Genomic DNA, 22,303 nt, shown 5'->3' on the forward strand with positions numbered 1-22,303 from the left:
ACAATCCCCTGCATTTATTGGCACCTCTGCCTTCTCATCTGTTTCTTTCAGTTTAGCCCCATGGAGGGGAGACAGGCCTGGACAAGGGGCATGACTACCCAGGGGTGGGCATCAGGGCTCGCATTGCGGGCCACTGCCGAGCTCCTTGGGCCTCAGGCCCACCTGCATCATCATCATCCACTTCCCCGTTGATCTCCGCTGCCCGGATGAGACGGGCCTCCATCACCTCCATTTCCATAACCTCCATCTGCTTCTTCAGTGCATCGTACTGGGTCTGCAGAAGACAGGGTTTCAGGGTGTGCCATTCCATCCCCTCATACCCACTCCCCGAACCACACAGACCATGATCACATGCTTACCAAGGGCAGACAGGGATGCTGGGCTAGGGGTGAAGATGCCAACTGTCTTTGGGGGGAGCCAATGGGCACTAGGGTATGGCAGTCACCAGCCTGCTGTTCTCACCCAGGCCCTGCCCTCACCTGCAGTTCCTTCATCTCCTTCTCAGCCCGGAGCCTCTCTGCTGTCTCCGCGTCCAGCAGCTGGGAGGCGGACTCTCCTGTGTTACGCTCATCTGTCAGCTCCGATGTCAGCTCTGAGATCTGGGGTTGGGGGTAGGGAGTCACCACCAGTTGAAGTGCCTGCCTCACTCAGCCAGAACACCTGGGGGACCTGCAGGGGCTGGGTCTCCCTGCAGCCATGCCCAGTCGGTGTGGTGCCAGGAGTCACTCACCCGGCTCTCCAGCCGGTCACTGTTGAGCCGCAGCTCGTTCCTCTCCTTCTCCGCCTTCTCGAGCTTGCTCCGCAGCTGCTGGATCTCCTCCTAGGGTGGACCAAAGAGGGCAAAGTGAGCCAAAGGCACTGCGAGGGATTGGGGCCCTGGGTCTGCACCCCTGTAGTGAACGAAGCTGATGAAGCTTGGGCCAGGACGCCATGGGGAAGGCATGTCCCCAATAGCAGAGCCACTGCCTCCTGGGGATCCTGTCCCTAGACGCTTCCCAATAAGCTAGGGATGCCCAAGATTTTATCGTAAGAGGCTGTCCAGGGGCTCAGCCAGCACCCCAGAGGGACATCTTCTATTTGATGAGCACATTTCAAGGATGACAGCTCTCTGGACTAAACGAAGAAGCGCCTGGAAGCCCAAGATAAACCAGCAAGGCTTCCCCCTACCCAGAGACTTGGCCCTCTCAGGCTGTCACATACGTCTTTGTTCCGGATCTGCTCCTCTGACAGCTGTACTTCGATGAGGGGCCTCACTGTGGTAAAAAGCTTCCACCAGGGCCAGTCCTTCACCCCTTTGTTCTTCTTGATGTTCTTCTGTACACAGCGAATGGCCAGGTCCTGGATCTGCAGGTGGGGTGGGGGTGGTGCACAGCGGGGCTCTCAGTCACCCTGGCCAAGCTCGGCCCAGGATCCTCCCCACCACCAGCACAGGCCCCCAGGGCTGCTCCTCTGGCCCCCTGACCCCGAGTCAGATACTTCTCATGCTCCCCCTTGCCCCAGGCTCACTCCGTCCCTCAAAGGGTGGGCAGCACAGAACCCAGCCCTGGGAGCACTGCGCTGGGCACTAGCCACTCCACTGCCATTAGGAATAATTTCATCTGCTTTATTTGCTGCCTGATTATTTCCAGCACCCTGGCCTAGCTGTGCTATAAAACCTAATCTTGCTGAAACACAAGAGGCGGCAGTGCTGGCTGTTTTATGGACTTGCTAATAAGAAAAGGAGTCACTGACACAGCTCCTTAATCTTCATGGAGCAGCCTATGATCCGGAGCCCACCTTTGCCTGGGCCCTGATTCCCCTACCCCTCATCAAAGCCCTCCAACCAGGCCCCGTCGCTGGGCACACCAGCACACTTGCTGGCACCAGGGAGCTGCCTGTTCCCCACCCTGGCCCAGGACATGGTGCCCTGGGAGGTTCCTGCCTCTTCTCCCCCTTATAGCCCCCACCCCAGGAACTTGGCTGTGCCCATCTAGGTTGGGGAGGGGGAGGGATGTCTCTAGAGCAGCACCTTTCTCTTCTTGAAGTGCTGGCGGGCCAGGTAGCCCCTGCAGGCTGCTTGGAACAGGGTTAGGTTCCTGCTGGTTTGTTCATCCCGCTGCTCCTCCAGCCGTGCCAAGGTGCCCGCCCGGAAGAACACCTGTGAAAAAGCAGGCCAGGTGAAGGCAGGATACTGGGCCAGCCCAGCAGAGGAAAGGCAGAGAAGGTGAGGAACTGGAGAAACAAGCAGGCCAGGGAGTACAGCCCTTGGCTTGGGAAGAGCCTCAAAATCCAATTGTCCAAGAGAGGAGGGGAGGAGCAGGAAGAGGCCCTGGGAAGGTTGAGGGAGAAGGGGCTGGGGAGGTTTTGGCAGGGGAGGGGTAAGGTGTGAAATTTAACTTCAAAGAGAGATGAAAGGAGAGGGAAGGTAAAGGGAAGATACCTGGGGCAAGGAAGGAAATGGAGCAGTCATTGGTCAAACAGGGAGGGGGCGTCCTGCCACATCTGTGAGGGCTTCCTCACCCAGGACTGCCAGCAACCCTGTCAATGCCCCCTGTGCCCACAGCCCACTGCAGGGCCCAACCTGGGCTCCAGGCCCCTCTGACTCCCAATTGCTGGGATCGGGTGAGTGGATGCTGGAGGATGTCTGTGTGAGAAGCAGCGCTGGGGAGCGCAGCGTGCAGAGGAAAAGCGGGGAGAATGGGAAGGGGGGTGGTGGGAAGCTCCTGCCTTCTCCTCCCCCTCCCTGCTAGTTTCATTTCAGATGGTCTCCTCTTTCATGTGCCACCCCCCAACACACACCCAAGTTTCACCTTCTCATGAAGAAGCCAGTGAGGTGGGCGGGGGTTGGCCCAGCTGAGGGACCTGTCATACAGGTTTGGGGGCTGGAGGGCAGGCATGTGCAGAACCAGCTGGGTGCCCCCACGCCCGGCCTTTCCTTAACACTCTGTGCCGCCCTGAGATAGGGCTCGGTAAAATTTGCCACACGCCACAAAGGGAAGTGTGTGTGAAACGGGAAGGGTCGGGTGAAAAAAATAGCTCTATCCATGAGAGTGGGCAGAGACACCTAGGTATAGGCCTACCTCCAACTGGCACAGAACACAGAAAATTCCTTTTTGTAGGGCAAAGAGAAGATGTGAACATCATGGGAAACACAGGTTACATAAATGCACTCAGCCAACAGACACAGTATCCCAAGGCCCCCTTCAGCAAAGATGCAAAGAGAGGGCCTAAACTTTCTGCTGAGAAAGCTCTGCCTCTGGCAACTCCACAGAAACCTGGTCCCCTGAGGCTGGCCTTGGAAAAAGCCAGCTCAGTCCTTTGTGACACTTCCCTAAATCCCACCATCGAACATGGGGTTTCCCATGGGTCTTAAGTTCTACCTGAGCCTCAATTTCTTTTCTTTAAATTTATTTTGAACAGTCTTGCTCTGTCACCCAGGCTGGAGTAAAGTGGTGTGATCATCGATCACTGCAACCTCTACCTCCCAGGCTTAAGCTATCGTCCCACCTCAGCCTCCCCAGTAGCTGGGACTACAGGTGTGCACCACCATTCCCAGCTAATTTTTGTATTTTTTGTAGAGATGGGGTCTCCCTATGTTGCCCAGGCTGGTCTTGAACTCCTGGCATCAAGCAATCCTCCTGCCTCAGCCTCCCAAAGTACTGAGATTACAGACATGAGCTGCTGTGCCTGGCTGCTCAATTTCTTTCTTTCTTTTTTTGGAGACAGAGTCTTGCTCTGTCACCCAGGCTGGAATGCAATGGTGCAATCTCTGCTTACTGCAACCTCCACCTCCTGAGCTCAAGCGATTCTCATGCCTCAGCCTCCCGAGTAGCTGGGACTACAGGTGCCCGTCACCATGCCCAGATACTTTTTTTGTATTTCAGTAGAGATGGGGTTTCACCATGTTGCCCAGGGTGGTCTCAAACTCCTGGGCTCAGGCAATCTGCCCACCTCAGCCTCCCAAAGTGGTAGGATTGCAGGCGTGAGCCACCACGCCTGGCCCCCAGCTGCTTAATTTCATATAATGTGCAAGCCTGAAATCCTGCTGGGGGTAAGGAATATCCAAGTCCCGCCGGAGGACAGCAAACACGCTTGGTTAGGACACATAGCCACCTGACCAGGGCAGAAGTGAGGTGCTGGAGTGGGGGGTGGATAATGGCTCAGAGACACAATGAGAAGAGAAAGAATGGTCTAGAGGCCAAAGCAGTGAGCCTCAAATCTCTCTTGAACATTTGGGGGGTTAAGGGTCCTTTTGGGTATTGGGTGAAAGCTCAGGGCCATCTCCTCCCCAGAAAACACATTCATACAAATTTTACAATGTCAGGAGGCTCTGAGCCCCCCCAGAGTCCTTATTGAAACTCTCAGGGTCCCATGGCTCAGATGAAGACCCCCCTCCTCTGAAGCAATGTGACACACAGGGAATCCTCGCCCATGAGTCAGTGTTAACCAGAGCCTAGACGACCTGAACTTTCTTTCCCAAACTAGATGTGAGCAGGCACCCAATGTTGACCCAGCTCTGCCCTTGAGTGACAGTGGGCCCTGGGGCTTGCCTGCCTCAGCCGGGCACCTGGCATGGCTCAGGATGACAGAAGGTCTGAGATGGCAGCTGGGAAGAGGATCAGCTTGTAGAGGCCCTTTCCTGCCCTTCCCAAGATAGGCCTGGGAACCCAGGCATGGGCTGGAGGAGGTGCCATCCCCAGTGGCAGCCAGCAGCAGCTCAGCCTGCTTGAGAGGCAGGAATCCTGGCGGGAAAGACCAGGGTGAGTGGACCCAGGGAGAGACCCTGCAGCTGAAGCAAATCCTGACAGCAGATAGCCCTAGGCAGGGGCCCAGCTGGCAGCCCCAGCTTAAAAAAGCAGGAGGAGGGGAACAGAGAGAGAGAAAAGAGCTGAACCAGACACAGAGGTAGACAAAGCAGTGACACAAACCAGAAAATGACACAGAAAGTGGATGGGACACAAAGACACAGAGAACAAGGAGAGAAACAGAAAAACAGAACTAGAAACCAAGGAATAGAGACCAGCAGGGACTGCTGGGGCCAAAGGGAAAGCCAGAGACAGCAGAAGCAAAGATGGGAAGACGCAAAGACACAGAGATGGGAGCGATTGACAGAGACGAAGGGCAGGAGGAGCCAGGAAAGTGACTCAACATGCAGGGCCGAGAGGACCAAGCACACAGGACAAGTGAGACTCAAGCCTCTGCAAGCACCTCCTTCCACCGCACACGCCCCACGGGGCCCTGCAACCGAGAGTTCCTTCCCTCTCTGCTGGCAGACAACTGGTCCAGAACCCTCTCTGGCTCTCCACTGGCCTCCCTTCCACCCTGGCCCTGGGGCACACATGCGGGTGCCACCTGTCCAAGCTTCCCAGGCTCGGAAGAGAGGGGCATGCAGGGCTTCCTGCCTGTGGGAGGAATGCTCAGCTGACCCTTTGGTGAGGAGTGACGTGGCAGACTGGCACCCAGGGGCCAGCGTGCCTGCATTTTACGCATGGCGTTCCATTCAGATGAGGAATTTGGCCTGTGGGCAGGTGGTGGTGGCACAGCCTCACCATGTCCTACTTGCTCTCTGGAACCCAGCAGCCCCAGATAACTCTCCACAGGGGCTCTACCCAAGGCCTCCTGCCTCTTCCAGCCCACATCCTCTGGGTCCAGCCCTCCTGTCTCCCCTACTCCCCACACCAGGACTCGGGTCAAGTTCAGGGCCACCTTCCACCCACTCTCTCCTGACATCACAGAGGTGTTCCACTGAACAAGCCAGTTATCCAGAATGAAGGAAAGCCAGGTTGCTGCATCTGAAACCTCTAGCTCCCTGGCCCCTGGCCCTGAAGGGGGCAGCCCCTGAGTGGCTGGGCGGGGTGGAGCTGGGGGCAAGACTCAGAGGGCACCAGGAGACTGGTGATGTCTGGCTGAGCAAAGAGAACAGGAGGAGTGGGCCAGCCACCTGACAGGGGCCCCTGGAGTGAGGCCCGACTGCCCTCCTGTGGGACAACTCACCCGGCTCAGGCCCATGCAGCAGCTGCTCTTCTCCAGATCCAAGCACTCCAGCAGCTCCTCCACTGCCTGTGGAGAGAGGCCTCTGTCAGGCAGCCCGCCTGGGCCTCCCCTCACCATGCAGGGCTTTCTCCAGGCCCTTGGCCCTTCCCCTCCCTCCTCCTAGACAGTCTGTTATTCATGCACTTGCGTGGGCTTCCTCAGTGTCAGGCACTGGGTTGGACTCTGGGGACATAGAGATGACTACGAGAGGAACAAACCGTCTTGCTGGGGAGCAAGACAAGTGAACTTGTGCAGTGCCCACAGGAGGTCGCACCTACGCAAGGCACCTCAGACAGCTGTTGGTTGTGCTGAGAACTTATGATACAAGTGAGAATTTGTTGGACAAAGTAGGGGAGAGGGCATTTCAGGCAGAGGAACCAGTGTACGCAAAGGCCTGGGAGCACAAGACAGCAAAATGCACTGAGGAAACTCCAAGTCACTCACTGGAACTGGGGGGTGGGTAGTGAAGGTGCAACTAGAGAGGGGGCTGAAGCCAAAGCATGTGGAGCCCCATGTGCTTCGGGAGCCCCTGAAGGGTTCTCTTAGGGATGGGCATGATCAGGTCTGCATTGGTAGAGGTCTCACTGGCAAATGGGTAGATGGATGGAGACCCACCCCACTTAGGCAGTAATCCACAGGAAGGGAGGCTAGAGCCTGGCCCAAGGGAAAGAGAAGAGGAGAACACGCAGCAGGTGTTAAGGAGACAGAGCCTTGCTGGATACGGGGATAGGGTATGTAAGGAGGAATCTAGGGCTATACTGAGATTTCCAATTTACGTAACTAAGCAGATAATGATGCCATTCCCCAAAGTAGGGAATATAAGAGAAAGAGGCGGCTTGTGGGGAGAATGAGTTTGGTTTGAACAAGCTGAGTCTGAGATGCCATAAGGGGTAGGGTAGAGAAGTCCAGGAGGCAGCCAGATAGAAATGTATGTCTGGAGCTCAGGAGAGAGGCCTGGGCTAGAGGTATTGATTTGGGAGTCATCAATATATATGTGATAATTGAAGTGATGAGTGTGAATGAGGATGGCCAGGAAGAGGGTGCAGAATAGAAAATACATATGGCCAAGGACAGAGTCCTGAGGAAGACACCTCTTTACTTCAGGGGCAAGTGGAAAAGAGGACCTCAGAGGGAGTGAGAACAGAGTCAAGGGGGAAACCAGGAGTGGCAGCAAAGAGGCCCAGGAGAGAATGTCCCAGAAAGAACGGAGCCCCATGCTGCTAAGAATTCAAGTAACAGAGGGATAGTAAAGTGCCAGTTGGGCCAGGCGCGGTGGCTCACGCCTGTAATCCCAGCACTTTGGGAGGCTGAGGTGGGTGGATCATGAGGTCAGGAGATCAAGACCATCCTGGCTAACATGGTGAAACCCCATCTCTACTAAAAATACAAAAAATTAGCTGGGCATGGGCCTGTAGTCCCAGCTACTTGGGAGGCTGAGGCAGGAGAATCGTGTGAACCTGGGAGGCGGAGCTTGCAGTGAGCTCAGATGGCGCCACTGCACTCCAGCTTGGGCGACAGAACGAGACTCTGTCTCAAAAAAAAAAAAAAAAAAAAAAAAAGAAAAGTGCCGGTTGGCTCTGGCAATATGGAGGGCGTGAGGGATGAGAAGACCAGTGCCAGGGCATCAGGGAGAGGGACCAGGCAGCCATGGGCAGTGAGGGCAGCAGGAGGAAAGCCCAGGGCAGGCAGGAGGCAGAGCACAGTCCAGGGAGACGATGACAGAGGCTCCTTCCAGAGAGCAAAACCTGCAGGTCTGTGGGGAGTTTCTCCGTGGAGAGAAAAGGGCCAGGAGAAAAAGAGATGCCAGAGGAAAAAGAGAGAGAAGTGAATTCACACTGATGGAATGGGTCTCTGGGGAGACCCAAGGAAATGGACTCCAAGGCACAGGATCAAGGGACTGGATGAGAGGGACCCTCCCCACCAAGACAGAAGGGGTACGGGAAGAAGGAGGCTAGGGAAGAGAGGTTTGCAGGAGGCAGAAGAAGCTGGAGCCTGATGTCCTGAGATCTGAAGGCTGGGCATCTGCTGGGAAGGTGAGCCAGGAAGGTGGGGCGGGGAGGATTTGAGAAGAAAGATGGAGAATGCAATAGCAGACAGGAAGCCTGGAGTCACGGCCAGATAAGGAGGGGACATCTAGAAGACTTGCTGGTCCCCCTGAGGGCCCACCAAAGGCTGAAGACCATGAACCTGTAGGAAGTCAAGTCCACAAAGTTGTATAATTTTCTCCCACCACCCTTGGGAGCCCAAAGCAAGGAGTGCAGACACCCAGAGGCTGGCGCTTCGGTGGGAGTTGGGCAGGCCAGGTGCTGCGGGAGGCTCAGGAGGGCTGAGGGTGAGGGAGGCCGAGTGACTGCAGAGTGAACCATGGAAAAGGAGACAATTCACAGAGAAATGGAGTGTGATCCAGAAAGAGAGGTTCTGATGGAGCCAGAGAGCGGGTGTCCTGAGGGGAAGAGAGGAGTGGGACCAGCAGGCACGAGGCTGTGGTCAGAGAAGGCCATGCTGGGATTTATGATTTTGGAGCTGGGGCATTTCCAGAGCTGATGAGGTACTGGTGTAGCCACAGGTGGGAGGCTGGAATGGAGGCTGAGGGCCTGTGAGAAGGGGGCGTGGGACGGGCATCTATGTCCACATGAGGTTGCCCAGGCCACCAGCAGGCCAAAGGATGGAGGGAAGTTCTTCCGAGCCCCCTCCATGAATTCAGGTCTTTAAGGCAGGGGTGGAGGGGCAGGGGGGCACACACAGAGGCAGGCTGGGCACTCTGTGGGCTTTCTGCCCCATTCTGCAGCATCCTCTCCATTTAGGGAAGCCATCCTAAGGTCTGAGGTGCTTTCAGAATCAGGCTGGATGCCTGAGGCCCGAGCACAGTAAAGGAGGGGTCCTCTGCTCTGGGAGCCCTGTGACTGTCTAAGGGGCTGCCTCTGGGGCTCAAGGTGATAGCCCAGACGGGCAGGGACACCCCTTCCGCAGCCACAAGTTCACCAACCAGGGCCGGCAAATGGCCCGGCAGCCTATGTTCACCTGGCACCACGGAGGTCTCACCATATCCACCTTCCTTCTAGGAGGAATGTTCGCCCAGCCCTGGACAGCTTCCTGCTTCAGGAACCAATCCCTGACATGGGGGCCCAGGTGCCATCGGTGGGGCTCCCAAAGCACTAATAATTCTCATGCACCCTCAGTGCGCCCAGGCCCTGCTCGCTCCTGGATGATTGTCTGGCTCACCAGCAAGCAGACACCCCCAGCTCAGGCCTCCAAGGAGGGGGTGGCTCTTCTCCAGCTCCTATGGTCTGGGCCCCAGGACACAGCTGGGTGCTTCCAAAACTGGGAGCCTGAGCAGGGCCAGATGAGCTGTCTCCAGGGAAGGGAAGGCAGATGAGTCTGGAAAGGGCAGCTGCTTGAGGGGCCTGGGCAGAGGGAGAGCGGTCTGGGGACCTGGACCTACCCGCCTTTCATCCACCACGATGTAGTTACGCCCGTGTTTCTTGGTCAGGTGCGGGGCCAGGACATCAAAGCGGCGGCGGAACTCGGAAAACACCATGTGGTCAGGGTAACCTAGAGAGAGCAGCCCAGAGCCAGGCCTGTCAACGCCACCTGCTCCCAGCACACCCCAGTAGCCACTGTGCCTGGGCAGTCAGTGGAGAGTCACCAAAAGGGAAGAAACTGCAGGGGGTGGGGAGCCTGTGGTTGAAGGCAGGCCTAGAAAGGAGAGGGGGTAGGCAGGGAAGAGGAAGAGAAGGTCAGGAGGACAATCAGGCCTGCTCCACAGGGGGATAGGAAGGCCCAAAAAAGGAACAGCCTCCTTCAGAGAGAAGTAAGCTCCTAGTAGTCAGTGAGGTATGCAAATGGGGGGTTGTGGGGTAGCTGACCAGCTGGGAGGAAGGCTACATCCCAATCCCCAAGATGCTTTCCAGCCCTCCAAGTCTATGCCTCAGTGATAACCCAGACAAAATAATGTCTTATGGTCTTAAAAAAAAAAAAAAAAAAAAAAAAGACACCAGGCCAGGCGTGGTGGCTCACGCCTGTAATCCTATCACTTTGGGAGGCCAAGGTGGGAGGATCACTTGAGGCCAGGAGTTTAGACAAGCCTGGCCAGCATGGTAAAACTGTCTCTACCAAAAGTACAAAAAAGTAAGCCGGGTATGGTGGTGCATGCCTGTAGTCCCAGCTACTCAGGAGGCCGAGGCAGAAGAATCGCTTGAACTCAGGAGGCAGAGGCTGCAGTGAGCCAAGATCACACCACTGCACTCCAGCCTGGGAGACAGAGCAAGACTGTGTCTCAAAAAAAAAAAAAAAAAAAGGCACCAGAGAGTAGCTGAGAGGAATCGCGCATTGGCTAGGTGCTGGATTCCTGGCCCTGCCTCTTAGGATCATGTGACCTTGGGCCAGTCACTCAACCTTTCTGAGCCTCAGTTTCTTCACCTTTAAACAGCGGCCCTCGCACTTATCTCGAATGGTAGTCATGGAGATTAAATGAGAAACCAGGTAAAAAGCACAGTGTGACTCACTTGGTTGGCATTTAATAAACACTCCTTTTCCCCCTCTGTCCACTAGAGCAGGACATGAGAAAGGCTGCCCTCCTTGCCTCACCCTGACCTTGAGTCCTAGGCCAGGTGACCAAAAAGACTTGTAGATTCTCTTTCCCTGAAGAGTGTCTGGGCTTCAGGTCAGGGGAGGTGTGACCTGACTTTTGGCTTGGAGCAAAGTGGGTCAGAGCAGTGGCTAGCAGGAAGTGACCCCAAGTCACCCTGATCTTACCAGAGCCCAGGGTGGAGGGCCACGAACTCCACTCCCACAAAATCACAGAATTTCAAACCAGAAAGGGATCTTAAGCCAGATCCAACTCATCTTTCAGACACAGAAACGGAGGCCTGGGAGGAGCGACTGTCTTGCTCAAGGTCACAAAGGCTGCTGCTGGGGGCAGAACTGGCTTCCAAACCTGGACTCCTGACAGCTAGCCAAGGGCATGCTCCACAGCAATGACGGGCTAGCTGGCTCTGGGAAACCCTCCAGCTGGGAGGTGAGGCTGATGCATGTGCCTGATAATTGAAACAGGAGGTGGGGGCTGCTGAGGGGCCAAGACAAAGTGAGCTATTGATTGTATCTGAATTGCAATTAAATTGATGGGCCAGGATAGCAGGTCTGGACGCCTGGCATCTTAATTAATCATCAGTGCTATAGTGCGGTGGCTGGGGGCCGGGTGAGGGAAGGGGGGCCTGCCGCTGCTGGCCTCATCGATCTGCTTGTTTGAGTAACGCACATTGATTTTGGTTCAGAGCGGTAACAATCTGGTTTTGAAATAATAAACACCAACTCCATATCAAGACGTGGGGACAGATCGATGATTTATTTAGAGCAGGGCAGGGAGCCTGTTTCCTGGCTTGGGCTGCTAAGGAAGTTTTAGTGCCCATGGGAATGCCTGAAGGGGACCTGGCTGTGGGTGGGTGGGACCCTACCTGCTCTTCTAGTGAAGGAGAAAAACAGCAGAAACCCAGCAACTCATAACTTCTCAGGCAAAAAACAAAAAAAAAACAAAAAAAACCCACCCTACTTGAGAGACATGAGACATGACTCTACAGCCAGCCTGCCTGGTCAAATCCCACTCTGCCACTCAGGAGCTGTGTGACCTTGGGCAAGCTACTTAACCTCTCTGAGCCTCAGTCTCCTCATCTGGAATGATACCAGTGTGCTATCCCGGCCCCCAGCCACCGATAACAGCTTCTAAGGACTCTAAGTAACCACTAATACTATCATCCTGTCTGTCGCCTCCTTTAGATGGGTCCATAAAAAAGGGTCTGTCTGACCTTTCTTGGGAATTTTAAGTACTTCAGAAAGATTTAGCACCTCATTTCTCACTGGGCAGATGGCTCCGAAAGGGCACTGGGTTTGCTGCTGTGGGCAAAGCTGAACTGTCCAAACTAGGGACGTGGGAAGAAAGGGAGCTGTGGACAAATGACAAGGTGCAGGGTGGAGCTAGGAAGGGAGGGGGACAAAGAGAACTGAATATGGAAGGGAGAGGAGGAGGCGGGGACTCTGCAGGATGGAAGGAAATGGACAAAGGGGCTGTGGGCTGGGAGAGATGAGGAGAGACCAGAGCAGAAAGGATCGTGAGGAAAGACAGGAGCAGCCCCACTGCAGCCCACGGGTCGCAGGTGGGAGGTGGGGCCGGGCAGGGCCAGCTCTGGAAAAGAGAGCCCAGAGTGGAGAGGAAAGGAGGCCCCACCTTGGCGGTACATGCGCATGGCATCGAGCAGGCGGGAGCCGCGGAGCTGGGTGCGGAGCAGGGGCACGTCGAGCTGCAGGAGCCCAGCCTCGCAGTGGTCTCCCGAGGGCAGGTCCAGCTCACTGCTGCTGCTGACTCGGCGGGAGGAGGCGGAACGGGGCTCCCCAGCCCAGCCCTCAGCTACAGGCAGGAAGCAGTGCACAAAATGCAGCTTTGACTTCTTGATGGTGTCGATGAGGGCGTCCTGCCGAGGGGAAGAGACTGCCCTCAGTGGGCTCTGATGGCCTGTGCTCAGAAGAGCAGGGACTGGTGCCAGCGTCTCCACTGCTCACAGGGTAGCAGCGGCCCCAGCACCAGCCAGGACATGCTAAACCTGGACAACTCTGCCCTCGCCGGGCCTCGGTGGCCACTCACAGGTGGCAGCACTGAAAAGAAGACCCCCACCTGCAGCCATTGAGTCACAGTGGGACGCTGAGTGGGCACCAGATGGCCTCAGTGTGCTCGGAGTCCCCAGGCCTGCCTACCAGGGGTAAGGAAGGGTCCCCAGGCCTGCCTGCTGGGACCCGGCTGGCACTCACCACCTGTAGCTTCATCTGGATGCACAGTGACTTCTTTTTGACAGCCGCCATGCCTGTGGTAAAGGTTTTCCGCATGCTGGTGGCCCGGCGCAGTGCCAGCTGCGAGCCGCCCTCCAGGCCCGCGATGGAGCCAGAGAGCACCGTGGCACTGCCTGCGCGGCCCAGAAACAGGTTGCTGATGATTTTTCTGCCAGAGGTGGGAGGATAAGGGAGGAAAAGCAGTCACATCGATGGAGCGGGAAAGGCCGCTCCTCCCCCAAGGCCCCAGAACACTAAACAGTCCCATTCAGCCACGTCCAGGGGCCTGGCTACCTGAACTGCATGCCCCACACCCTACAGAGAAACAAACTGTGGAGAAATTTTCAAACAGTAAGGAGAGAAAGCCAGAGGTGGGCAGAAGCCAAGGGGTGGACAGGAATCGGACAGAGGGGATCAATCTACTCATCTACTTCCCCTCACCAGGGAGGGCAAAGGTGTGGAAGAGTTTCCAATGTGACAGGAGGGGTTAGGGTTCAACATCTTCTAACATACGATATAATTTATTTATTATGTTTATTGTTCATTATCTGTCTCTCCCATTAGAATGTAAATTCCACAAGGGCAGGGAGTTCAGTTTTGTTTACTATTATCTGCCAAGCACCTAGAAGCCCCTGTCGCAGGGTAGGTGCCCACTAACCATCTTCTGAAGAGTAGAACGGATGACAGGGCCCGTGGGGCTGGGGGTTCTAAGGCCGCTCCTGCCTTCTTTGACTTGAGGGTGTTCTTCACATTTAAACCATAGGCTCTCCCACCATGTCTGCCTCCCACCTCTACTTCAAGAGGCCCCTCAAGCTCCTCAAGGCCAAGTGCCCTGGGCTGTTGCCTCTCAGGAATAAAGGCCATCTACTTTGCTAGTGAGGGGGCCTCTGAGACAACCCCAGGGGGAGGGAGCCCCAAAATCAAAACAGTCCTGGGTACAGAACAGGGGCGGAGGGAGTGGTGGTCTTACTTCTGGGAGTCCTGCAGGAGCCGGGGGGCATTCTGGGTGGCTGGGTTCTGCTTGGTGTAGTTCAGCCAGCCAGTCACATTGTACTCTACCCAGTTGGTGCCATGGCTGTGGCCCAGGAGAAAGTGGTGTGGTTTGCTGCTGTGCAGAAGGGGGCTTTGGCCTGATGGTGGGAGAAGCAAGATTTAGGTCGTCAGGGTACAGGCACAAAGTGACCCCCGCCCCCTCCCAGGGAGTGCCACCTGGACCCACCTGTATGTAAGAGGAAGCAGAGGAGCTACCCTCTAGGGATGCCACCTACCTTTTTTGTCACCTTCCTGGGGGCCATAATAGGAGAAAAGGCGCTCCAGGAGGGTGTCCTCACTGGCCCCTGGCACCAGAGCCTCCTCTTCCAATAGCCAGAGCAGGCCCCTCGCCTCGTCTGTGCGGGCCAGCGAGCGGACCTACAGAGAAGGAAGGAAATCCCTCCTTGTCATATGGAGCTGTGGGAAAGGGGCCAGGGTGGTGCCGGGCCCAAACACACCCTACAGAATGCTACACATGTGCACACATGCACACACGCACATGCCGCAGCTCCTGCCGCTCACTGCTGACACCTTGTGGAGGAAGCGGGCAGCCCGGGGAAAGGGGAGCCAAGAAAGTGAGCAGAGGGAAGCCCACAGCAAAAGAGGGTGCTTAGCACTCCAGTCCAAAGTCACCAAAGACTGCAGCCTTCCTGCTGGCCCGAGCCCGCGCCCCGAGGCCCTCCTCCACCCTCGTCCCCTCGGAGGTCACCAGGGACTTGGATGAACCCCACATTGCTCTCACTCCCTGGCAGTGGCATAAAGTCTGGAAGGCCCTGAGCACAAGAGTTGGCCCTAAGGAAGCTGTCAGTAAGTGACAGCTGTGAGGTTAATCCTGGTCTCTGAAAGGAGAGAACCCAGAGGGGGCTCAGATGGCTGCCAGTGGGATCACTGCAGGGTCACTCAAGGGCCAAAAGCATAAGACAGGTGACTTAACGGACGTGGCAGCCAAAACGGGTAGAGGCTGGGGCAAGCTAGAGAGCAGGTATCCCTATCCAAAGGGAAAAACCACCACTGAGCTGCAGCTAGCTGCTCTCCTGGAAGAACACTGGCCTAGCATTGATAAACCCTCTGGTTCTTCAAGAGAAGGTAGAAATATCTAATTCTAATTTCCAATATCCCATGAAGGCCAAACAAACTAGGCCTGTGGCCACATCTGGCCTGAAGGTGCCTTTTCTGTGGAGTTCCTGCATCTTTCTTGGGCAGGAAGGATGGAACCTTCCCCACACCCTATTCTGGCCTGGCCTTCAGGGGCTGGAGGAAAAAAGAAGTGAGAAAAGGGCCATTTTTCCTCTCTTTGACCCCAGCTGCCTGCATCTCCTCCCCGCAGATGCCCAAGGGAGTTGGCGTGATTACCAGAAGGAAGCAGAATGTGGCCAAAGGCCAAGGCAACTCTAGTGGCAGGAACCGAGTAGCAGGAACGAGCAATGAAGCAATGAGATGGGAAGACAGGCTTGGCACCGAGGGCCCCTTCCCCAGGGGTGCAGCCGCCCCATGCCAAGGTCCATTAGTCAGGAGAGACCACAGAAGAGAAAGGAGAGCCAAGCTCTTCCCACATGCTGTCTGACTCCTGCTGCTCATGCTGACATCCCCCCTCTCCCGGGAACCACAACGGTTCTGAGTGAGGCCACCATAGGAGCCCAGGTGTCAGGAAAAGAAAATTCACTTCCCTGGGGAGATGCGGTGCTTGGGCACTTTAAACATCTGTCCCCGGGGGGATACTCACTCTTTCGCAGCCCCACCACTTGTGCAAGCCAAGCAGGGCCTCATGGCAGAGAAGAGGGAGGGAGAGGTAGGGATCAAAGCAGAGCAGGGAGGTCGGCAGCCTCGCAAAAATGCCAGTTCTCCAATAAAGCACCTTATGCAATTTCCCTAATGGCGGACAATCGCCAAATGCCAAGAGTTTGCTAGGCCAGCCAGTCCCCCACCGAGTGCCAAGGTGCCCAGGACACTAGCACAAAGGGTGACAAAGCCTGCCCCCAAAGTTGAGGGGTGAGGGTTCATATCCATGACAGTCCCCCAGAGGGCGTCTGACAGCTTAGCACTGTTTCCCCTGGGAGCGGGAGGCTGGCTCCTGGCCCTGTTCTGTTAGGTTGCACCAGTCCTCTACTTGGGGACAATGGGAGGGAATGACTATGTCCTTGGGGTCTAGGCCCTCACCAGCTGGGACTGGTCACCAGGGCTCCTAGCAGACATACTGGAGGCTCAGCCAGTCACCAGCTGGGGCCCGAGCCTCAGCTGCTGAGAAAGGAGATATGCTTTCCTGCCTGACTGGGACCCCCATGGGCTGTGGCTCCCCAGGGCACCAGGGCAGAAGAAAGTGCCACCTTCCTGGCCAAGACTGCCTGAGTGCTGAGGGGCAGAGCCCCAGCACCAGAGAGTAGTTGGTGTCTGGGCATAGCTGCTGGACCCTCCCTCAGCCCACAGTGGCACCCCCAGCAGCAGCTCAGATGGGGAGGGCTCCACCACGGGGAGAGGGGTGGGGAACGAGAGGAAAGGCTTGCCCAAACCCTCTCTGGAGCTCCTACCAGGGACTGATGGGAGGCCTGGTCCACAGCAGCCACAGAGTCATCCGTCGGGGGTTCCAAGTCGTCAAACGCCAGCTCGATGTTCTCCTGGGAAAGAAGGCCGAGCGGTAGTGAGCATGGGGGTCACATTGTGGGGAACAGCCTTGTGAGTAGGCTGGGAAGGGGCTCTGAGATCAGCAAGGCCAACCTCCTTCTGTGCCGTGCAGGAGCTCCCTCCATCATCCCAAATGAAACAGCTCCCAAGGAAACACACTGTATTTTTTGCACAGCTAAAATTCTCAGAACCTCTTTTTATCCGAAGCCAGAGTCACATTCTCATTACTCACATGAGTTGATTAGGCAACACAGAACAAGCCCACTCTCAATTTCACACAATCATCCTTGAAACACTTGAAGACAACTGCCATTTTCCTTCTGAATCCTCTCTCGCCCCAAATAAATATCCTGACAATTCACTCAACTCACTTCCAGATGAGGCAGGATTTCCAGTTCTCGTCCCATCCGGGACACCCTTTTACAGAAGGCACTAAATCATCACCTGGCACCCTCACAGATCAGGGAAGGGAGACGGGAAGGCCAGGCCCAGACACACTTGGAGCAGGAACCACACAGTGGCAATCACCAGGCCTGGGAGGTGCCTCAAAAGAGGCCAAGGGTAGCCTCCTGGGGGCCCTCAATGCACCTGTAGGCTTCCTGGAGAGTAAACTCTCCACCAAGTAAGAACGTAGCCAAAGCCAGAGGCCACGGACAAGGGGGCAAGGAACGACTCCTGCTCCAGAGAGCGCAGGAGGACAGAAATGGAGAGTAAGGTGATGCCTTCTGCATCCACAGATGCCCTCGCTGTGGGTGCCAAGGCCAGAATCTGAGGCTAGATGAGGCCCAGGCCCCAGAGCTACCTCCTTGTATCTTTCCAACTCCTGCACGAAGGTGCGCTCGTGGAAGAGCCTCTGCAGCCGGTCTTGGGTGTAGTTGTGGCACAGCTCCTCAAAGGAGGCTCCGCGGGCTGACCCACCCTGCTCAGGGTTCTGGAAGCCCGGGGTGTCGACAATCATCATGGAGCAGAGTGAGTGCTGGCTGGACTTGAGAGCCCTGGATAGGGACAGCCTGGGTCAGAGCCTCGCTGGTTGGCCCCGGGCACCAGGAAGCCCCACCCTGCCCAAGCCAGACCTCTATCCCTGCCCAGGACCCTGGTGGGGAGGGCATGCTGGCCTTGCTCATAGCCCATGGGACAGGGAGCCCCTGCTGGAAGAGACCGGCTCTGCCTCGGCCAACAAGGCATGAAGGCATCTACTCCACCTCTGCCAAAGCAGGAAAAGCCCTGGGTCCTGCCTGGCACTCACCTATTCACCAGGGAGACGAGAAGGGTGAAGAGCTCGCTGTAGAGGCCGGCCGCCATGCCCTCAAGGCACTCCAGTGCACTCAGTTTCGGGCCTGTGGGGCAGGGGGAGCAGCGCTATCTCCTTCTCCCCAGGGCTCCCCATCTGGGTAAGCCCCTGACCTGCCCAGGGCCCAGTCAGCACGGGGCCTGGGGCAGGGCCTCTGCCACTGACAGAGCATCTGTTCACTCCAGCAGTCCCCTCCCGCCCCAGGGATGGCAGCAAGCCCCAGATGAGGCCTCACACTCACAACTACCAGCCAAGGGACAAAGGGTACCTGTCCCATCTCCCAGGCCACTCTCCTCGGGGCCCTGGCGGAAGGAGGTGGAGCGCTGCAGGGTGCCACCCTTGTGCTGGTGCTTGAAGATGGCTGAGGACAGCTCCTCCAGGCTGCAGCCCAGTAGGTACGCAGCCTTCTGGGCCCACTCATGGCGGGCAAACTGCTTGCGCCCAGCTGTGGAGTGGAAAAAGGGATCTGGCATCCTGGGTCTTTTTCCTTAGGCCAGCTGATGACCTGATGACCAGCTGATGACTATGCATCTTCTGGAGGCAAAAGCCAGCCCTGATGACACCCGATGGGCTTCAGGCAGAACAGGGGCAGCCAGCAGTGGCCAGCATTTCCTGTGTCCCGTGGGGATGGAGAGAATGAGCAGGTCCTAAAGGAGGAGGTAACTCCACATGCTGCCACCGGAGGGCAACAAACCAGCTGCAAAAATCCCTTTTCAGATGGCTCAGCTCCGGGGATGCCCAACTAGGGGAAGGGCGGAGTCAGAGGATGAACCAGCCCACCTGGGATGGGCACAAGAACCCCGTGTGCCTGTGGGGGACTTATCTTGAGAGATCGCTCATGCCTCCACATTCCCTGAGTACATTAGAACCCTCCCTCTTGCCCCCTGGCATCTGCCAGTGGAGACCACAAACACCCACTGATGGCCCAACAGTGGGGAGGCAAAAAAGCCACAGGGGAAAGGGAACAGCCCGCACAGACATATGTGCCTCAGCCAACATGTGTCTAATCACGGCAATTAGGGAAAGCTAACAAGAAACAAGGTTTTACCTTCAGCAGCTTCTGTAAGGCAAAGGACCAGCATGCAGCATGCAAAGAAAAACAGTGTGTTAGCAAACAGTCATCAATAGAGCTCGCCGCCTCGGAGGGACCGTGGGGCGGGGGTGTTGTGAGGATGAGTAGGCAAGAAAACACAACCACAGTCAGACTTGGGACAAACGCACACACACACAGTCTCCAGGGAGTATGTTTGTGGGTGTAATCACACTGACACACACAGAAAGAGACCCGCAAAGACATTTGTGCACATGTGTGTGTGCGCAAACACACCCTCCCCCCCCCCCCCCCCCCCCGCCGGAAAACACTGGAAGCTCTGAGGCGCTAACAGACATTGTTTGAGAAGATCGCTGTGCTGACACCCGGAGCTTTCCGCTTGCAGTTGGGGCTGGGTAGGTTAGAGGAAAGCTAGGCTTGTCACCGCCTCAGAGTGAAGTAACTTCCCTCAACACACAGCCACACGCCTGCCCGCCTGTCTGTCCTCCACATTCTCGAGAAAACTTCTCTAACCTAGAGCCTGGCTCCTCCTGGGCAGGGATGCCACTTCTTGGGGTCGCTCGCATGGAGCCTCACGCCTGGGCACCCATTCCTCCATACACCCACCACCTGCCAGGACTTTCTCACTCCAGCTGAGCAGCCTGGGGCCCTTCACATCCCAGAAGGGGCCAAAGCCAAAGCCCAAGGTGCTGTTCAGCGCCAGCATCCCCTTTCCCTAAACTGGAGAAAAAGGGGGTGAAGAGGTGCTCGAATCGCCATCCTCCAACGTAAGTCATCTTGAAGGATGGAGCAGAGCTCCTCCAAGCCAGGCCAAGTCCCCGAGCGCAAGTGCCAAAGCTGCAGCCCATTCGTTACCACGGTGCCTGCTGCCCCCTAGTGGCCGCCACCCTGACATGCAAGAGGAAGATACGGAGCTACCCAACCAGTGGAGAAGGGAAGAGGACTGGGGAAAACTGGTCTGGGGAGGCCCCAGGTAGCAAGCCCACCCTACCCCACCCCACGGTGGGCATCCTGAGAGGTTCCAGGATTCAGATCTAAAACTGGCAGGAGAAGCAGCTACTCCTGGGACTCTAAGACACCCCACAGCCTGCAGGCTCCACTTCCACTCTCAACCTCCAGGCTTCTCCCCAGACCAGTCCTCTCTGCAGCAACAGAACAAGCCCAGCCCCTAGAAAGTCCTGGGCAAGCACCAAGACAGGGCACGGCGGCCCCTATACCCAAGGGCGGGGCCAAGGTCAGTTACCCGCTTGCTCCTCGGGGGCCTCTGTCAGGAAGGGAACAAGAAGGAGAGTTATTCCAGCGGGGCTGCCCTGCCTTAGTGCCCTTCTCATCCCTCAGCCTCTGAACCCCCAGCCCTCCATGCTTCCTCATGGTGCCCCCCAGCACAGCCAGCTAAGTCCAGGCCTCGGGTCGTCACTGCCAAAGATGCTTCCCGGGCCTTCTGCTCTGAAGTGGGGGGCTGAGAAGAGGCACAAGCAAAAGAGGGTTGTCTCAGAACGGCTAAGTCTGTGCTGGGCAAGAATAAACTGGGAGTGGGCAGGGTCCCTGTGAGGTCACCCAGGGGACAGGCCAGCCTACTGGGACCCACTGCAGGTTACCTTTGGTGGCTCCCGCAGCCCCCAGGTGGTAGATGGCAGCCAGAATGAACCAGCAGGCCTTCTGTTCATCGGGGGAGATGCCCAGCACCTTCATGGCCGCCTGCAGCTTACTAAACTGCTGAGCTGCCTTCTGCTTTTCCTCAGGCTGTGGAGATAGATGACCTCAAAGGGCTGTCCCTCCCAGCACACCCCCATGAGGCTGGGCCCTCAGGGCAAGGCTTGGGTAGAGCCAGCAGCTGGAGCTGGGCTCCCACTATTCCCACAGGACCCATGGAGGCTTCTCCTACCCCCAAGGCCCAGGGCTGGCAACCCAGACCCCACAGACCCCTCACCTTGGCCAGTGGCACAATCCCAAACACATTGTTCTCTGCCAAGTGGTTGAGGTGGAGCTCTGTCCTAGGGGTACAAATAAGGCATCAGCACGGCACTTGGTCCCCATGCCAAGGCCATTTCCGCCCAGGGTGGAGACAGACAGACTCAGCTTCCAGACTCCAAGTTTTGTCTGCCCATCATCCCATCATCCCCAACTGGCGGGCCAGCTGTCACTGCTTTCCTAACTGGCCTGGATGCCTGGTTAGAGTACCATTCTCCTGAGGACAAGCCACCAGACATGCCCTGGTGAGAGGATGCAACCTGGCCCCCGGAAGGGAGCAGGGAACCTGCCCGAAGGGTGAGTCCCGCCAAGGCAGAGACGATGCCCTCAGTTACAAGAAGGGCTAAAGAGGACAATGGCCTGGGGATGCTGGCTCAGCCTCATCATTTATCTCTTTTTAGTGAACACACGCGGCAAATCTGAATGTCTGAAGGGAAGAGCGTGGCAGAGGCAGCCAACGTGGGGCAGGAAGGGCTAGTCTGGAGGGCACTGGAAGAGGCATGGGCTTTTGGCCCCAGTGTGGATTCAAATACCAGTTCAGCCCCCTACCAGTCATGCGACAGTAGGCAAGTCCCCAACCACTGGTACCTCAGTGTGCTTTGCTTTCCAGAACTGGCTTCATGGGTAATGGAGATCCTAGCTAGGCCCTGGCAACACTGAAGGGCTGGCTGTTCCCCTCCAATACAGCCAGGCCCCAGTACCCAGGACCAGGGAGTTCTTGATAGGCAGGGACTATGTCTCATCCATCTCACTGTCCCTGGGGCCTAGCTCAGAGCCTAGCACATAGCAGACATGCACTGACCAAACAGTGCAGGATGCGATCAAGTGGCTTTAATTCTGGATGCAATCAAGGTCCAGGAGCCCAGTCAGTGGGCTGGAGTTCAGAGAACCCTTGTGTACCCTCTGACCCATCTCACCTGAGGGTGCCATCCCCACAGGCCAGCAGGTAGTAGAAGACGTTGAATGTGGCTTCACTGGCTGGGCGCCGAGCCACACGCAGCTTCTCCAGAAGCATTGTCTGTGACACAGCATGGACGTGTGGGTAAGGAGGGTAGTGCCAGATCAAGTTTCTCCCACCCCACATAAGAAGGAATCAAACACATGGTCCTCTAGGCCCTGGGGAACAAGCAGCTGCATTTTTTTTTTTTTTTTTTTTTAAGATTTGAGATGGAGTCTCACTCTGTCACTCAGGCTGGAGTGCAGTGGAGCGATCTTGGCTCACTGCAACTTCTGCCTCCTGGGTTTAAGCAATTCTCCTGCCTTGGCCTCCTGAGTAGCTGGGATTACAGGCATGCACCACCATACCCGGCTGATTTTTGTGTTTTTAGTAGAGATGGGGTTTTGCCATGTTGGCCAGGCTGTTCTTGAGCTCCTGACCTCAGGTGATCCACCCACCTCAGCCTCCCGAAGTGCTGGGATTACAGGCGTGAGCCACCGCACCCAACCTGCATCTTGTTTTTTAAGTCTTTTTTTTTTAAGATAGGGTCTCGCTCTGTTGCCCAGGCTGGAGT

General features: G+C 56.5%; 1 protein-coding gene across 6 annotated transcripts in view, besides 4 other annotated features; it reads right to left on the bottom strand.

The window, feature by feature from the left end:
• MYO18A (myosin XVIIIA) overlaps positions 1-22,303 on the bottom strand; it is a 109,277-nt gene that overhangs the window by 26,504 nt on the left and 60,470 nt on the right. For 5 of the 6 annotated variants that reach the window (NM_203318.2, NM_078471.4, NM_001346766.2 and 2 more), the window contains 19 exons: positions 21,710-21,810; positions 20,752-20,815; positions 20,420-20,564; positions 18,819-18,830; positions 18,039-18,215; positions 17,726-17,816; positions 17,282-17,474; positions 16,386-16,472; positions 14,097-14,238; positions 13,799-13,958; positions 12,811-12,997; positions 12,233-12,476; positions 9,455-9,564; positions 5,974-6,039; positions 2,009-2,137; positions 1,201-1,344; positions 731-820; positions 480-599; positions 163-274 (listed from right to left, as the gene is read on the bottom strand). In NM_203318.2, the coding sequence (NP_976063.1) occupies positions 163-274; positions 480-599; positions 731-820; positions 1,201-1,344; positions 2,009-2,137; positions 5,974-6,039; positions 9,455-9,564; positions 12,233-12,476; positions 12,811-12,997; positions 13,799-13,958; positions 14,097-14,238; positions 16,386-16,472; positions 17,282-17,474; positions 17,726-17,816; positions 18,039-18,215; positions 18,819-18,830; positions 20,420-20,564; positions 20,752-20,815; positions 21,710-21,810 (2,374 nt within the window). Of the gene's footprint in view, positions 1-162; positions 275-479; positions 600-730; positions 821-1,200; positions 1,345-2,008; positions 2,138-5,973; positions 6,040-9,454; positions 9,565-12,232; positions 12,477-12,810; positions 12,998-13,798; positions 13,959-14,096; positions 14,239-16,385; positions 16,473-17,281; positions 17,475-17,725; positions 17,817-18,038; positions 18,216-18,818; positions 18,831-20,064; positions 20,086-20,419; positions 20,565-20,751; positions 20,816-21,709; positions 21,811-22,303 lie in introns of all 6 variants that reach the window. The other variant, NM_001346765.2, reaches the window with a different exon arrangement.
• Positions 5,108-6,073: an enhancer, noted in NCBI's record as "H3K4me1 hESC enhancer chr17:27429751-27430716 (GRCh37/hg19 assembly coordinates)". NCBI's record gives its function as "activates a minimal SCP1, AML or CMV promoter by ChIP-STARR-seq in primed H9 embryonic stem cells {active_cell/tissue: H9 hESC(primed)}" and the evidence as "EXISTENCE:reporter gene assay evidence [ECO:0000049][PMID:30033119]".
• Positions 10,954-11,536: an enhancer, noted in NCBI's record as "H3K27ac-H3K4me1 hESC enhancer chr17:27435597-27436179 (GRCh37/hg19 assembly coordinates)". NCBI's record gives its function as "activates a minimal SCP1, AML or CMV promoter by ChIP-STARR-seq in primed H9 embryonic stem cells {active_cell/tissue: H9 hESC(primed)}" and the evidence as "EXISTENCE:reporter gene assay evidence [ECO:0000049][PMID:30033119]".
• Positions 19,546-19,840: a silencer, noted in NCBI's record as "tiled region #1183; K562 Repressive DNase unmatched - State 25:Art". NCBI's record gives its function as "represses a minimal TATA promoter and a strong SV40 promoter by Sharpr-MPRA in K562 cells {active_cell/tissue: K562}" and the evidence as "EXISTENCE:reporter gene assay evidence [ECO:0000049][PMID:27701403]".
• Positions 19,661-19,710: a silencer, noted in NCBI's record as "silent region_8363". NCBI's record gives its function as "represses an Ori minimal core promoter by ATAC-STARR-seq in GM12878 lymphoblastoid cells {active_cell/tissue: GM12878}" and the evidence as "EXISTENCE:reporter gene assay evidence [ECO:0000049][PMID:35858748]".

This window comes from Homo sapiens, chromosome 17, assembly GCF_000001405.40.
Source record: "Homo sapiens chromosome 17, GRCh38.p14 Primary Assembly".
Classification (NCBI taxonomy): Eukaryota; Metazoa; Chordata; class Mammalia; order Primates; family Hominidae; genus Homo; species Homo sapiens.